Source organism: Homo sapiens, chromosome 8 (genome assembly GCF_000001405.40).
Source record: "Homo sapiens chromosome 8, GRCh38.p14 Primary Assembly".
NCBI classification, from domain to species: domain Eukaryota; kingdom Metazoa; phylum Chordata; class Mammalia; order Primates; family Hominidae; genus Homo; species Homo sapiens.
This window is the reverse complement of record NC_000008.11, coordinates 48,039,356-48,057,293: the sequence shown is the minus strand read 5'-3', so window position 1 is coordinate 48,057,293 and position 17,938 is coordinate 48,039,356. Positions and strand designations below refer to the sequence as shown.

Below are 17,938 nucleotides of genomic sequence, written 5' to 3'. Positions count from 1 at the left end.
TTTAAAAACTGTAAAATATAGTTGATAGAAATTAAAGAGCTAAATAAATATACATGGGTCAGAAGACTTATTACTGTGAAGATGACAATATTCATCAAGTTAATTTAGAGATTCAATACAACTCCTATTAAAATTTCAACTGCTTTTTTCTTGCTTGCAGAAATGAACAGGCTTATCTTAAAATTCATAAGCAAATGCAAGAAACCCAGAATAGCCAAAACAATATTAAAAAAAGAAGAACAAAGTTATGATTTCAAAACTTATTACAGGCCAGGCGTGGTGGCTCACTCCTGTAACCCCAGCACTTTGGGAGGCCAAGGCAGGCAGATCAACTTGAGGCTGGGAGTTCAAGACCAGCCTGGCCAACATGGTAAAACCCCATCTCTACTAAAAATACAAAAAATTAGCCAGGCGTGGTGGCGCATGCCTGTGATCCCAGCTACTTGGGAGGCTGAGGCACGAGAACTGCTTGAGTCCAGGAGGTGGAGGTTCCAGTGAGCCAAGATCGCACCACCGCAATCCAGCCTGGGCGGCACAGCAAGACTCTGTCTCAAAAACAAACAAAAAAACTTACTACAAAGCTACGGTAGTCCAGAAAGGCAGGCCAGGTGCAGTGGCTCACACCTGTAATCCCAATACTTTGGGAGAGATAGGCGGGTGGATCTCTTGAGCCCAGGAGTTCGAGACCAGCCTGGCCAAGATGACGAAACCCTGTCTCCTTTTCCTTTTTTTGAAGGTGATTGTTTATGTTGTTATGTTTTAATTTCTTGCTTTTTATTTGGGGTTAGCAAGGATGTGGAGAAGCTGGGAACCTGCATACACTAGTGGTAGCAATGTAAGATGGCCTATTCACTTTAGAAAACTGTCTTGACAGTTCCTCAAAAACTAAAACATAGATACCGTATGACCCAACAATTCCACTCCTAAATATATATCCAAAAGAAATGAAAATATTTGCCCACTCAAAAACTTGTATACAAATATTCATAGCAACAGTATTCATGATAGCCAAAAGTAGAAAAATAGAAATATCTACTAGGTGATAAATGGATAAATAAAATGGGATCTCCATACAATGGAATATTGTCCAACAATAAAAAGGAATAAAGTACCAATACACAATACAAACATGGGTAAATCTTGAAAACATTACGTTAAGTCGCCAAAGAACACATACTCTATGATTCTATTTATATGAAACATCCAGAATGGGCAAATCTATAAAGACAGAAAGTGGGCTGGGCACCGTGGCTCACGCCTGTAATCCCAGCACTTTGGGAGGCTGAGGAGGGCAGATCACAAGGTCAGGAGATACAGACCATCCTGGCTAACACAGTGAAACCCCGTCTCTACTAAAAATACAAAAAATTAGCCCCGTGTGGTGGCGGGCGCCTGTAGTCCCAGCTACTTGGGAGGCTGAGGCAGGAGAATGGCATGAACCCAGGAGGCAGAGCTTGCAGTGAGCCAAGCCATTGCACTCCAGCCTGGGCGACAGAGTGAGACTCTGCCTCAAAAAAAAAAAAAAAAGACAGAAAGTGGATTAATGGTTGTTTAGGTCTAAGGGAGATGGGATGGGAAATGACAACTGATGGGCACAGATTTGCTTTGGGAAGAACAAAAATGTTCCAAACCTGGGTCATGGCAGTGATTCCACAATGTTGTGAATACTAAAAACCCTTGAATTTTACCCTTTAAATGGGTGAATTGTATGGTATGTGAATTATATCACCATAAAAGTGTTTGAAAGTAGAAAAGAAAAATAATTTTAGAGTGATATTTATTTTAGAAACTAACAGCAGGCGCAATGGCTCACACTTGTAATCCCAGCACTTTGGTAGGCTGAGGTGGGTGGATCGCCTGAAATCAGGAGTTCAAGACCAGCCTGGCCAACATAGTGAAACCCCGTCTCTACTAAAAATACAAAAAATTAGCTGGTCATGTTGGCGGGCGCCTGTAATCCCAGCTACTAGGGAGGCTGAGGCAGGAGAGTCACTTGAACCCAGGAGGCGGAGGTTGCAGTGAGCCAAGATCGCACCATTGCACTCTACCCTGGGCAATAAGAGCGAAACTCCGTCTCAAAAAAAAAAAAAAAAGGAAAAGAAACTAACTAAAAGAGTAAGAAAAATGTTACAATGGTAAGGTACATTTAAAATGCTTCCTCTAACACTTTCACTTTAAAGAGTGGCAACCTCCTTAGCCTATTTTAAATAGATTCCATAACTGAACAGTTTATAAAAATAAGTAGAGAGAATACCAAGCTATTTCTAAATCAGAAACAAACACTTCCAGCTGTAAATGGTAGTTAAATAAACATAAGTGATTGCAAATCCTGTGAAATACCAACAGGGTGCAGAAAAAAAAAAAGAAACATTGGAGGAAAAGAAAAAAAAGATGAAGAGAGAGGACGCAGTAAAGAGCATGAGAAAATAAATATCATGTCAGAATAAAATCTGCATCTTATCAGTCTACAACATACAATGACCTCCAAAATGTGAGATCTCACTGCATAAGACAATAAAATTTACACTTCAGAGTGCTAACCACCCACAGGGAATAACTTTGCCTCGTCGTATTAAATACGTATAAACTAAAATTACTAAAGCAACACCCACCATCAATGCCTATGAACTACAATTCATGAGACACTTAAACAGCCTCAAAATATAAAAACTATCCTGGCACAATCACCAATGTGAAATTCTGTACCATTTACTAGTTATAAAAGTAATAATCCAAACTCTTAGATGTAAATGAAGAGAAAAACAGATGTCCAATATATTCACCCTACCCACAACCCTCTATACACACATCTACACTCCAATAATGATTAAAATCAGTATTTATTTTTCTATTTCCCAGTCCCCATTCCAGATTGACAGTAAGAAGGGTTGGTGGGAATATACATTCAGAGGGTCCTGTTATACACCACTGGTGGGGCTGACATTGACCCAGCCGGGAGGAAAGCAGCTTGGCAATATTCAAGCTGAAGAAAGCCCCACGCCACGGCACACTTCTAGATGTATTCCCGAGAGCAGCACTACTCAAGGTGTGTCCATGGAAAGGGGCAGGCCACGAACTGAATTCTATTGCTCCTTGACAAGATACACATTGCAATTGAGAGTAAGAACTTAGAAAGTTTTATAGCAATCTGACGGAGAACATTTTAATTTAAAAATTTTAAACTTGGCCAGACGTGGTGGCTCAAGCCTGTAATCCCACCCAGCACTCTGGGAGGCCGAGGCAGGCAGATCACCTGAGGTCAGGAGTTGAACACCAGCCTGGCCAACGTGGTGAAACCCCATCTCTACTAAAAATACAAAAATTAGCCAGGCATGGTGGCAGGCACCTGTAATCCCAGCTACTCGGGAGGCTAAGGCAGGAGAATCGCTTGAACCCAGGAGGAAGAGGTTGCAGTGAGCTGAGATCATGCCATTGCACTCCAGCCTGGACAACAAGAGCAAAACCTCATCTCAAAAAAAAAAAAAACAGGAAGGGGAAACAAGAGAAAGCCACACACAGAATTAACTCTATTTATAATGTAGTCTTTGTACTAATAAGAAAAAAATCTAGCTGGGCAGGGTGGCTCACGCCTGTAATCTCAGCACTTTGGGAGGCCGAGGCGGGCGGATCATTTGAGGTCAGGAGTTTGAGACCAGCCTAACCAACATGGTGAAACCCTGTCTCTATTAAAAATACAAAAAAATTAGCTGGACGTGGTGGCACATGCCTGTGGTCCCAGCTACTTGGGAGGCTGAGGCAAGAGAATTGCTTGAACCTGGGAGACAGAGGTTGCAGTGAGCCAAGATCGCGTGACTGCACTCCAGCCTGGGAGACAGAGTGAGACTCCATCTCAAAAAAAAAAAAAAAAAAATTAAAAGATCTGTTACAAATAAGACAAATGTTAACATTTGACAAAGCTAGGTGAAGGACACATAGATGCTGGTTCTATCATTCTCTAAAACTTCTATTATGTTAGAAACATTTCTTTTAAAAACAAAAAAATAAATTTATAGTTAAGTGCAACAAAAGAATAAGAGTGACTCTAACAGAGCAATAGAAGGGACATAATTCAAGTTGGAACATCAATAAAGATACTAAAAAGTGGAATTTAGGCTGGGTGCGGTGGCTCATGCCTGTAATCCCAGCACTTTGGGAGGCCAACGCGGGTCAGGAGTCTGAGACCAGCCTGGCCAACATGGCAAACCCCCATCTGTATTAAATTAGCCAGGTGTTGTGGCACACACTTGTAGTCCCAGCTACTTGGGAGGCTAAGGCAGCAGAATCACTTAAACCCAGGAGATGGAGGTTGCAGTGAGCGAGATCATGCCACTGCACTCCAGCCTGAGTGACAGAGTGAGACTCTGTCTCAATAAAAAAGAAAGTGGAATTTACAGTGAGAAATGAAGGACCCATAGGAGTTAGCCAGACTGGGGAGGAAGGAGGAAGAACAGAAGTGCAAAGGTCTTGAGACCAAACGAAAGGCATGCAGGCCAGTGTGCACCTTGAGCACTCCCAGTGAGCCATGGCAAGAAGCATGCATGCTGAGGCTGATGCCCCTAAAGGAATCTGAAGTGCAGAAATGACACGACGCAATTTGTCTCTTAGGAGGATCCCTCTGGCTGCTAACTTTGGAAAGACTGGAAGGGATTTTAAAAAGTAGAATCAGAGACGTTGTTGCAAGAGTCCAGGAAATAAATGATGGCCAATATTCACTTGGTGGCAATGTAAATAGAAAAATAAGACCTAAATCCAGTCACATTTGGAACATAAAACTGACAAGGCTTAATGATAAATGGGTTGGGGGAAGGGAGGTAGAGAGGGAGGCAAAATATCAACTACTGGACCAAAAGCCCAAGAGATCAGATAAGCTTATTAGAGGTAGGTCTGAAATTTAATCTAAATTTCCTAGCTTCCATGACAATGTAGAACACACCATTAGTTACTTAATTTACAGAAGCTATAATGTAAAAACAAAACAGTAGTGGAGAAAACCAGATATGTCTAGTAGCAAAATCTAACAAAGGTCTTCTTCATAAAGGCAATGCTGTGTGTCACACAGGACATTCCCTAAATAATATCTTTTCTGTGTACTCATATGCTTTATAATCCTGCTCCTATCAAATTTCTTAAAAATAGATAAGTGTGCATAATTTCTAGAATAATCACTGAAAGAACACAAACAGAATGAAAGAAGTTGAGAACAACCATTCCAAAAGTAGGCAAGAAACATGTAGAAAAATAGAAACCACCAAATAAGATGATCTGTTTAAACCTGAACATGTCAGTAATTAAGAATATTAAATGTAAATGGACTAAATGCTCCCAGTAAATCACAAAGACTGACCAACTGAGGACTGTGAGGGCTGGAGAGACTCTCAGGTCCCAGCTCTGAGTTGGCACAGGGGTGGGGGGGTGTTAATGGCCCAGCAGGTGCAGGGCTAAGGTTTCCAATGACCTTTCCCAGCTTCTTCCTTTCTCAGGGTCATGCTTTATTTGGCCTGGTGCCTCCCTGCTGGATGCACCAGCCAATCTGGGGCCCCGCCTCAGACCTGCGTATTAGGTTGGGGTTGAGGGGCAGGGAGCTGGCTGTGAATCCAAGATTCAACTTGTTGCCAGAAGTACAGTTATATGAAGGGGAAATTGAGCAAATAAGTAAATGCACTGGGAAGCATGGGAGCCAGGTTTCTCAACTGGAAAGGAAGAATCATAGAACAAACCCTATAGTTTTAGAATAAAATTAGTGGGAGTTGTTAGTATAAACTCGTGATTTTTAACAGATGGTAAACAGATGAGAAGGAAAGAGAGAAGGAGAGAAGAAAGGAGGATGAATTTGTGTACATATGTGATACATTTGTAGTACAAAATACACTGGTAGAGAGAGGGAACGCAGGGATGGGATGAGAAATCAAGGATACTGAGGCCCTATTTCCTAAGATGGATGATACTCATTTTATGATGATGATATGTTATTTTGCTTCCTAAAATGTATTTTGTATGTGGCGTGCTCTCAACATGGCACCAAGAGAGCCTAGGCTTCAAAGACTTATCATGAACTTAACAATCTACTCATACTGGAAATTCAGCTGTTTCTACTAACTAACTTGTGTGGGTCAAGCAGGGCATGTCATTTTGTTTAAAGAGACAATGGGCTGGACACAGTGGCTCACGCCTGTAATCCCAGCACTTTGGGAGGCCAAGGTGGGCAGATCACTTGAGGTCAGGAGTTGAGTCCAGCCTGGCCAACATGACGAAACCCCATCTCTACCAAAAAATACAAAAATTAGATGGGCTTGGTGGCATGTGCCTTGTAGTCTCACATACTTGGGAGGCTGAAGTGGGAGAATCACTTGAGGCCACAGGAAGTGGGGGAGTACCACTGCACTACAGCCTGGGGGACAGAGTGAAACCCAAAAATAAATAGACAATGATGCTCAGCCATGACTGTTTCAACACAGACATATTTGCTCTTTAAAGAAAAAAACCCTTCATGAATATTCATCCTTTTCATGAACAGTCATCCTTTTAATCCCACCAAATGTACCTTAACCCTCAGAAAAGTAACATTCAAAGAGAAATAATGATCATCTCTTTTTTTTTTTTTTTTTGAGACGGAGTTTCGCTCTTTCACCCAGGCTGGAGTGCAGTGGCACAATCTCTACAAGCGTGAGCCACCATGCCCCGCCCAATAATGGTCATCTTTTTACCAAATAAAGATCAACTGAAATATGACTATTAAGGCAATTAAAACCCTAAGAAAACTTTTGGCCAGGCACAGTGGCTCATACCTGTAATCCCAGCACTTTGGGAGGCCGAGCCGGGCGGATCAACTAAGGTCAGGAGTTCGAGACCAGCCTGGCCATTGTGAAACCCCGTCTCTACAAAAATACAAAAATTAACTGGGCATGATGGCAGGTGCCTGTAATCCCAGCTACTCGGGAGGTTGAGGCAGGAGAATCACTTGAAGCCGGGAGGCAGAGGTTGCAGTGAGCCAAGATCGCACAATTGTACTCCAGCCTGGGTGACAGAGTGAGACTCTGTTTCAAAAAAAAAAGAAAAGAAAAAAAAAGTTTTAACCACCACATGCATCTATTCTAGGCAAGTACATTAAGGTTTTTAAGGATGGCCTAATTTATATTAATAAAAGAAAAACAACATAATGCAACCTTCTTTAGACTTTTGGCTTAACAAAGGTCCTCTTTTAAAAACTTTCTCCTAACTACATATTAATATCTTACATATATTATGGTGTGTGTACGTATAATATATAACTCTATACATTATGTTATATAAAACCAAAATGACTATATTAACTTACCATCCCACTGGAATTATTTATTCCGTTCATATTAATTTTTGTTACAAATCTAACTGACGGAGGAGCTTCTGGGTATTTAGGTCCACATTCTACTTTCAGGCTATATATTCTGTTTTCATAATTTGTCTGGAAGGCAAAAAACAAAAAGATAATCAAAATAACAATACCTAAAATATTAATGTCTAAGTGCTAAAAAAAAAAAAGGGAAAGTACAATATGAATGTACGTAAGACAGTGTTTATGATTAAGAATTTATTTTTCTACATTCAAATTTATTTCACCTATATGGTGAGAAAAAATGCAATAAGCATACTTAAAAATTGAGATTTTACAAAATTAATTCCATGAGATTTTACAAAATTAATTCTACAAAGTATTATCAATATGATCCCAAGTTGCTTTTGTGATAAAAATGATGCCTGTAACAAATTAGAACGAAGAAGGAAAAACGAAAAAGCAAACCACTTAAATTTAGATTTTGCTAAAAAGTTTACATTGTAGAGGGAGGGGCTACTTGAGACTTGTGTTAAACATATATGAAGGTTTCTGTTTTACAGAACAGTTCTGCTTATTCCTATTGTCCCAGAATTGACTATTAACAGTGCCTCCTTTCATTCTCAAAAGGGTCTTGTTGGATAACAAATTATATGATTATCCTACTAAATATGGCAATCAATAACTTCTAGCAAAAGAGAAAACCCCATATTATACTATTTTGCAGCAATAAAACATAATTATTTTATGTCCCCTGTTAGTTATACTTACGTTGCCACTTCATTAATTTTGAGGTTCATTAAATCCCATTATCTGAATTCAGAGATACAATGGCAAACTTTATGTTTACACATCATTTTCAAATAGGTATCAAACTTAAAGCTTCTAGATTATCCAGGGCTTATTTTCATGCCTATAAATTAACTCTTCTTTCTGCTATGGCTTTTGTTCACTCTGTTAACTTATTAGTGTACCATTAAAACAGCAAAGTAAAAAATAAATGAATCCTCACCTTGACTCAAGAGATTAAAAAGAAAAAAAAATTGTTTTAAAGAGAATTATAATTATTGAAACTTTAAATTTTCTAAATTATAATTAAAATAACATAAAAATATATACATAAATAAATGAAAGTGAAAAATTTAATATCTGCTGGCTGCTGTATAAGACCAGAGAGGGAGGAAGCTAACCAACCATCTACAGATCTCACCTACTCAAACTGATCCCATCCCCATAAACAAGAGCTATCCAAATGGAGGTCAGATTTGCAGTATTAAACTACTCTAATGTAAAACCTATGCAACAATGTTATATGTATGTTATTAAATATTTCAATACTTTAAGAAAAAAAGAGCTATATAAAACTCATCTGAGATTAATAGCAAGCAAATATTAATAATATCCCCAGCACTTTCAATATATAAAAATGACTAAAATCAGATAGATCTCATGATTATCTTGGCTGTGATTCTCCAATCTGGATGCATATCAGACTCCCCTATGATACAGCAATTCTATTCCTAGGCATTTACCCAAGCGAAATGGAAACAAACACATGTTCACAAAAAGACTTCTACAAGAATGCCCATAGCAGCTTTATTTGTAAAAGCAAGAAAGTAGATTAAATCCAAATGTCCATAAAAAGAAGTGATAAACACATTGTGGTATATCCATACAGTAAAATACTATTCAACAATAAAAAGAAACACACTCCTACTACATGAGATAACACAACTGAATTGCTCAGACTTCATGCTGAGTAAAGAACCGTAAGTGTACACACTACATGACCCTACTTACCAAAGCTCTACAACACGCAAATCTCTCAGGTGTGGGAAAGCGCAAAGGGAGCTTTCTGGAATGACAGGAATGTTCTGTATCTCAGTAGGGGTAACAAGCTACATTTGTCAAACTCATGGCACATCTGTGCATTTCACTACATGTAAATTCTACCTCAATTCCTTTTGTTTAAAAAAAAAAAAAAAAAAACCCAAAGCTCTTTTCTGAAAGATTTTATGTAAACAAAAAAAAATTTAATCCCAAAGCTAGCCTATTAATCTAATCCAATTCTTACAGTAAATATCACCCTAACTTCTGACACCTTTGATTTTATCCCCTCTAAATTTTAAATTAACAGGCTGGGTGTGGTGGCTCATGCCTGTAATCCCAGCCCTTTGGGAGGCCAAAGGCGGGCAGACTGCCTGAGGTCAGGAGTTCGAGACCAGCCTGGCCAACATGGTGAAACCCCGTCTCTATTAAAAATACAAAAATTGGTAGCACACGCCTGTAATCCCAGCTAGTCGGGAGGCTGAGGCAGGAGAATCACCTGAACTCGGGAGGTGGCAACTGCAGTGAGCTGAGATCACGCCACTGCACTCCAGCCTGGGTGGCAAAGCAAGACTGTCTCAAAAAAAAAAAAAATTTTAATTAACAGTCAAGTTTTTCTGTTATCTAATAAAAAGCAAGAGCAAAAAAAAGAGGAGAAAAACAAACTAATATTTACTAAGTCAAGTACTCAGGTATTCTCCTATTATCTAATCATTATTTCACTTAATTCTCACACTGTTTCTATTTTAAAGATGGGGACAGTACCTTCATTAAATATGAGAAAACTTGAAAAAGTACTAAACTCTAGTGACAACAAATATTGCTTCAGAAAACTGAACACAAAAACATAGAAAAACAAAACTGCTAATCATATAAATCCAAATAAATACTAGAACAACATAAAAAATGAGGGATCTGGCTGGACATGGTGGCTCACACCTGTAATCCTAACACTTTGGGAGGCCGAAGGGAGTGGATCACCTGAGGTTGGGAGTTCGAGACCAGCTTGACCAACATGGAGAAACCCCATCTCTACTAAAAATACAAAATTAGCCGGGCATGGTGTCGCATGCCTGTAATCCCAGCTACTCAGGAGCCTGAGGCAGGAGAATCACTTGAACCTGGGAGGCAGAGGTTGCGGTGAGCCCGAGATAGTGTCACTGAACTCCAGCCTGGGCAACAAGAGCAAAGCTCCATCTCAAAAAAAAAAAAAAAGAGGGACCTTAGTCAATAAAGTACAAAAAATAAAAAACAACTGGCCAGGCACAGTGGTTCACGCCTATAATCCTAGCACTTTGGGAGGCCACGGCAGGTGGGCCATTTGAGCCCAGGAGTTTGAGACCCGTCTGGGCAACACAGTGAGACCCCCATCTCTACACACACACACACACAAATTAGCCAGGTATGGTGGTGTACCCCTATAGTCCCAGCTACTCAGAAGGCTAAGGTGGGAGGATTGTTTGAGCCCAGGGGGTCCAGGCTGTGAGGTGTGATCGGGCCACTACACTCCAGCCTGGTTGACAGAGTGAGACTATCTCAAAATAAAATAAAATAAAAATAAAAAACAACGAACCATGTAACATGTTAAAAGTCTTCCTCCTCTCAACCGGGCACGGCGGCTCACGCCTGTAATCCTAGCACTTTGCGAAGGCCGAGGTGGGCGGATCATCTGAGGTCGGGAGTCTGAGACCAGCCTGAGCAACATGGAGAAACCCTGTCCCCACTAAAAATACAAAATTAGGCCAGACGCGGTGGCTCACGCCTGTAATCCCAGCACTTTGGGAGGCCGAGGCGGGTGGATCACAAGGTCAGGAGATCGAGACCATCCCGGCTAACATGGTGAAACCCCATCTCTACTAAAAATACAAAAAATCAGCAGGGCGTGGTGACAGGCCCCTGTAGTCCCACTACTCGGGAGGCTAAGGCAGGAGAATGGTATGAACGCGGGAGGCAGAGCTTGCAGTGAGCCGAGATGGCGCCACTGCACTCCAGCCTGAGCGACTGAGCAAGACTCCGTCTCAAAAAAAAAAATAAAAATACAAAATTAGCTGGGAGTGGTGGCACATGCCTGTAATCCCAGCTACTAGGGAGGCTGAGGCAGGAAAACCGCTTGAACCTGGGAGGCGGAGGTTGCGGTGATCTGAGATTACACCATTGCACTTTAGCCTGGGCAACAAGAGCCAAACTCTGTCTCAAAAACAAACAAACAAAAAAGTCTTCCTCCTCTCCTGGCTAGATGTAGATACTCTACCCTGGGGACAAAATTGTTCTCAACATTGCACCTTCTAAGGAGAAAACAACTGTGGTAAGATACCAACTCCTGCCTGTTTTATGAAAAGGCAACTGAATATGCCTGCTGTGACCTGCCTTCAAGAGAACTGAGAAGGTGATGCAGAGAAGATCATCAGGTGGTGAGCAGAGGCCAGTTCCAGAAGAAGCCTGTGCCTTTGCAGGGCACACCCTCCTACCTCTGCCTGGCACTCAAAGGAAGTGAGGGGGTCTCTGATGAGGTTCAGGACATACTATCCCAAAATACGGCACCTTGGCACTTAAGAAAACAGCAGAAGCAAGGTTACTCTTACCTTACCTTCGCCCCCTTCTCCCCTGAAGCAGACCCTAAAATCTAGCTGACCTCCCCACGAAGTAGGTAGGTCATGAGAACCACTCCAAAGGGGTCTTGTCTTATGCCAAGAAAGGAATGAAATCCAAAGACACAGGAATAATGTGAACAAACAGGCCCTGGTAAGTTCCCCCAGTTTATTACCTAGTGTGTTACCATCAGATCCAATCACGCTGTTGCATCACTGTCCACTCTTCATCAAATTTAGCATAAAAATACACGGTTTCCCTGTTTCTTTGGGTCTTCCTTTCTGAATGTTCCCATGTCATGTAAAACTTAAATAAATTTGTATGCTTTTCTCTGCTTTTTATTATAAGTGCCTCAGCGTGAAGCTTGAGACAAGTGAGGAAAGGCTATTATGACCTTTTCTCTCCTGCAGCTCCAAAACCACCACCCACAGGGAATGGAGGACCACAGTAGCATTTTGTCTGTGTGCCCTGAGAGGGGAGAGAGTTGCAGAGAAGCAGCCTTCACCCCCATCCCAGTGGATAGAGTTTCCTGAGGTTCGGTGACACCAGGAATGGCAACTAGTTGGGGCATCCTGCAGGGGACCCCAACCGGGTGAAAGACCAAGCAGGAACCGGTCCACGACAGCTAGGAACTGTGCTGTGGGTCAGCCCACAAGACCACTGATGAACTCATCACAAGTTCCAAAACATTCTTAAAGTCTGCTGCAGGCAGTGGCTAGAGAAAAACGAAATCTAAATAATTTCAAATTTATATTCTACCAAGTTCTGACTGTTAAATCTTCAAATCAGTAAGTCAGAATGTTCATCAATTATAAGCGCTTTTTTTAAACCAAACAGACCACAGTAATGATGTTCACAGGCAGTGAAAATCAAGGCTTCCATTATATATACCAAGTCATATGGAACTCTATCCATCAACATATCAACATTATATTTCCTTCCTAAAATGTCTTCAGGAAAAAATAGAGCAAGGGAGTAAACAGGGAGCCTATCAGTGTAGGAGTGTGCATGAATTTTGCAAAGGAACACCAGAAAACAACATAAAACACACACTAATTCATTCTCTATAATTAATGTTGCTAATTACCTGATACATTTTTCTTTTGTAATAATCAGGAGGGGCTGGGTGCAGTGGCTCACACCTGTAATCCCAGCATTTTGGGAGGCCAAGGCAGGTGGATCACTTGAGGCCAGGAGTTCGAGACCAGCCTGGCCGACATGGTGAAACCCCATCTCTACAAAAACTACAAATATTAGCCAGCAGTGGTGGTGCACACCACCTCAGGAGGCTGAGGTGGAAGGATCGCTTGAGCCCAGGAGGCTGAGATTGCAGTATGCTGAGATCACACCACTGCACTCCAGCCTGGGTGGCTGAACAAGATGTTGTCTCAATAATCATCATCATCATCATCATCATCATCATCAGGAGGAACTCTAAACTCTACCCAAGAGCAAAACAGTTAAAATGCTCTCATCATAAGGTAGCAACCAGTATACAAAACCAAAGACTTAAAAAACCCTTCAAATGTGTGCTCTTTCCAACAAGCCAAAAACATTAGAGAGACAAATTTCAAAGATTCACTGCAGGGAGTGCAGTGGATGGGACCATTAAGTAAGGAATGCAATGTAAAAAAAAAAAAAAATCCCAAGCTAGAAAAAAAGACTAAAAGACTTTGAGTAAAAATAAAACTTCATAAACCCAAGAAAGACAAAGTACAATGGGCCAGTTGCCAACCATACTAGAAAAAAATGTAAGAATCATAGACTTTTTATAGATGAAGAAGCTGAGACCTACAGCATTTCTATGGCATGTGAAGTGTCAGAGGGCAAATAGCAACATGCACTCAATGCAAACCAATTTAGAAACCCTCAGGTTCACACAAGAGGTAACATGTTACGTCAAAATGACTGCTCTCCCCACATACCCCCTCCATTTCCTCACCTTTTCTCCTCTCTATCTGGAATGTTCTCCATCCCCATCACCACCTTCTGAAATCCTACCAGTCAGTCCTTTAGGGATCATTCCAAAGGCAACTTCCTCCACTGTTCAGCCTTCCTCAATTATTCCAGCTAGAAGAAACATATTCTAAAGTCCCGTAGTGAACTTGCTCTGTCATATTTAGAATCTGTCATTTGTACTGATTTTTTCTCCCTTACTAAACTGCAAAACTTTGATGGCAATGACCATATCAACCTTCCTCCCCCCAATCCTCTACGTAATCGAGCATTATATCCTGCACGTGGGAAGCATCAATAAATGTAAACAAAATAAAAAGGAACTATTTTAGAAGTTATCATAATTGCTTATTTTAATATCAATAGTATAAAATTAAATGCTAACTTTAACAATAAGTATTAATAGAAAAAATATAATTTATAACACTGACCCTTGGTGGCCCAATAATCATGCCTGTCCACCTTGTAAGTGTCATATCTTCATCATCTTCAAGGCCCCAGCTAACTGTACCGTCGCCTACTCCTTTTTGTCCTTCTTCAAGTTCTTCCAACAAGCGAAAATTACGAGGAACTTTAACTCCTATACAAAAGAACGTCAGTGTAAATGTAAAAAGCTCATAATTATAAGAGCTACACGTATTTAAATTCAGCTTTTTCCAAATTAACCTTTATAAATTATTTCCCAAAAAGACCAAATCCCCTTTAAAAAGCATTCTGCTCCAGAAAATGCTGAATCTAATAACCCCTCAAAATGAAAACACTAAAGAAAGCACTGTACCAAACATTAACAGCAGTATACAACGTGTATATAAATTCCTCATCAATTTTATACTGATGTAAGTCAATCAACCATAAGGAAATCGTTTTCCCTATTTGATGTTTCTGTTACAGCCAAGGACTCTGCACCAATCAAACAGGCATGCCCAGAAAGTTCATAGAAGCCAAAGTTCATTAATATATACTCTCTAATGATTTTCAAAGAGTAGAATTATGTTCCATCTTAGAAAGTGCACCAGAAGGTACTGTCTTTTAGAATCCTGAAGCAGTCCCACCCAACCTGTCTCAAAAAAAAAAAAAAAAGAATGAGGAGTGAACCTTCATGTGAGGGGCATGTGAAAACAGAATCTGTCAGAGAGTAAACAGACCATGGACTTCTAAAGCAAATTCACACATCAAAGTTCAAATAATGGTGCAAAACCACCTCCTGTGAACAACTGACTTGGCTTTCAGTATGTCTCTTTAAAGAAAACATTATCATTTTATATGAGTTTCTTAAATGCTATTGGTAATATGGAGTTTAATTTTATGCACCTTAGATAATACATTTTTTAATGTGTTTGTGAGATTTTCATGGATGGTTTTTCAAAATTCCTAATTTTAGTTAGTAAGGATTTGACTTTGGGAAGACAGAAAACCTTTCAAGTAAAATGAATAGGCTTATATACATAAAGAAACTTCTTAATGAATTTAAAAGTGATCCTGTGAAAAACATAATTCCAGTGACATGGATGCCTAAATTTAAAAGAGTGGATACGGCTGGGCCTGTAATCCCAGCACTTTGGGAGGCCGAGGCAGGCAGATCACCTGAGATTGGGAGTTCGTGACCAGCCTGACCAACATGGAGGAACCCCATCTCTATTAGAAATACGAAATTAGCCGGGCATGGTGGCACATGCCTGGAATCCCAGCTACTCGGGAGGCTGAGGCAGGAGAATCGCTTGAACCCGGGAGGTGGAGGTTGCGGTGAGCCAAGATCACACCATTGCACACCAGCCTGGGCAACAAGAGAGAAATTCCATTTAAAAAAAAAAAAAAGAAGAGTGTTTACACAAGTAAAGTGTGTCTGCTTTTTAAGAGTTTATTCAGTTTAGGAAGGGGAGTCAAAATTTGTACTTGATTTCAATTTATTGTTATCTGAAATTGAAAGTATTCCTACCTTTTTTTGCTTTCGTGTATATGCAAAGGTAAATATTTATTAATCAAACCTTATAAATTTGAGGTGATTTTAGCCTGATTTCTCAGAACTTTTAATTTGTCTGTGTAGAAATGGGTTTACTAAATATTTTTAGACAATTTCTTAAGTATCTACTTTTATTTGCATACAGTAAGTTAGGAAAGACATTTAATGTTCCTCATACACCTGCTGTGTTATTTTGTGTGTGTGAGACAGAGTCTCGCTCTGTAGCCGAGCCAACCTCCACCTCCCAGGTTCAAGCTATTCTCCTGCCTCAGCCTCTCAAATAGCTGGGATTACAGGCGTGCAACACCATGCCCGGCTAATTTTTGTATTTTTAGTAAAGATGGAGTTTCACCGTGTTGGCCAGACTGGTCTGGAACATTTAATGTTCCAGAGGCGGAGGCTGCAGTGAGCCGAGATCGCACCACTGCACTCCAGCCTAGACGACAGAGCGAGACTCTGTCTTAAAAAAAAAAAAAAAACAACAAAAAAGGCCGGGCACAGTGGCTCACGCCTGTAATCCCAGCACTTTGGGAGGCCGAGGTGGGCAGATCACGAGGTCAGGAGATCGAGACCATCCTGGCTAACACGGTGAAACCCTGTCTCTAGTAAAAATACAAAAAATTAGCCAGGCGTGGTGGCGGGCGCCTGTAGTCCCAGCTACTCGGGAGGCTGAGGCAGGAGAATGGTGTGAACCCAGGAGGCAGAGCTTGCAGTGAGCCGAGATCGCACCACTGCACTCCAGCCTGGGTGACAGAGTGAGACTCTGTCTCACACACACACACACACAAAAAAAAAAAAAAAAAAAAAACCCAGCCTGGCCAACATGATGAAACCCCATCTCTACTAAAAATACAAAAATAAGCCAGGCATGCTGGTGCACACCTGTAATCCCAACCAGCTACTTGGAAGGCTGCTGCAGAATCGCTTGAACCCAGGAGGTGGAGGCTGAAGTGAGCCGAGATCAAGCCCCTGCCCGGGAGACAGAGCGAGACTGTCTCAAAAACAAAAACAAAACAAAAAAAGAAAAAACAGAGGGGACACTTTCCTAGATTTTAAGACTTCCTCATCAGCTAAAGAAATCATTAAGAAAATATGGAATCAGTACAGAAATGGACAGACTAATGAAAAAGAAAAGCCCCAAAGCAGACATATCATATATGAAAATGTGCTTCTTAGTAGAGGCAACACTAAAAGTCAGTAAAGAGAATAGAGGCATGACAACCAAATGCAATCTTGGTATCAGGAAAAATATTATTATCATTATTTTGCTTTAAAGAACAGTAGTGGTGAAATCTGAATAGGGCTGGTAGATAATAGTCCTCTATCAACATTAATTTCCTGATTTTGATAATTCTATTGTAAGAAAATGTCCTAGTTGAAGAATGTAGGGGTGAAGAGACAGTATCTGTTAACTTACCCTTGAATGGTTCCCCCAAAAAACAAAATCGAATGTGAAGGGAGGGGGGAAGAGAGAGTACACACAAGAGCAAGCAAAAATGTTAAACATCAACATTTGATGGATCTGCATGAAGGTATATGGGAATCCTTCGTACTACTTATGTTAACTTTTCTGCAAATCTGAAGTTATTTCAAAAGAAAAAAAAAAAAAAAAGTAGAAAAGGCTGGGCATGGTGGCGGCTCACACTTGTAAACCCAGCATTTTGGGAGGCAAAGGTAGGCCAATCAACTGAGCCCAGGAGTTGGAAACCAGCCTGGGCAACATGGCAAGACCCCATCTCTACAAAAAATACAAAAATTAGCCAGGTGTGGTAGCTGGCACATGCCTGTGGTCCCAGCTATTCAGAAGGTGGGGATCACCTGAGCCCAGGGAGGTCAAGACTGCAGTGATCTGTGATCACACCACTGCACTCCAGCCTGGGCCACAGAGTGAAACCCTGTCTCAAAAGAGAAGGAAAAAAAAAGTAGGAAAAGTTAATGGTGTTGGAACACTTTACCAATATGAAAAAATAAAATTAGAACCCAATCTGATCTCATAGTATACATAAAAATCAATTATAGGCAGATTAAATGAAAAGATAAGCCACAGACTGAAAAAGGATGTGAATAACATATAGAAGACAAGAACGTTATTCAAAATACAGAAATAATTCCTCCTAGAAATCAACAAGGAAAAGAAAACCCTAGAGAACAATGAGAACATATTAGGAATAAGGTTTACAGAAAACAGTAATGACCAACAAACATAAAAATATGTTCAACCTCATCAGTAATCAGGGAATCATAACGGCTTATTCTAGCCACCAAACTGACAAATACTAAGTCTGATAATTCTTGAT

The 17,938-nt window shown here is 40.6% G+C and overlaps 1 protein-coding gene across 3 annotated transcripts in view, besides 1 other annotated feature; it reads right to left on the bottom strand.

The window, feature by feature from the left end:
* UBE2V2 (ubiquitin conjugating enzyme E2 V2) overlaps window positions 1–17,938 on the bottom strand; it is a 67,272-nt gene that overhangs the window by 7,415 nt on the left and 41,919 nt on the right. For all 3 annotated transcript variants that reach the window (XM_017013808.3, XM_011517583.4, NM_003350.3), the window contains exons 2-3: window positions 14,113–14,261; window positions 7,316–7,441 (exon numbers count right to left, since the gene is read on the bottom strand). In XM_017013808.3, the coding sequence (XP_016869297.2) occupies window positions 7,316–7,441; window positions 14,113–14,261 (275 nt within the window). The remainder of the gene's footprint in view (window positions 1–7,315; window positions 7,442–14,112; window positions 14,262–17,938) is intronic.
* Window positions 8,998–9,198: a silencer, noted in NCBI's record as "peak7010 fragment used in MPRA reporter construct". NCBI's record gives its function as "represses an SCP1 promoter by STARR-seq MPRAs in K562 erythroleukemia cells {active_cell/tissue: K562}" and the evidence as "EXISTENCE:reporter gene assay evidence [ECO:0000049][PMID:32103011]".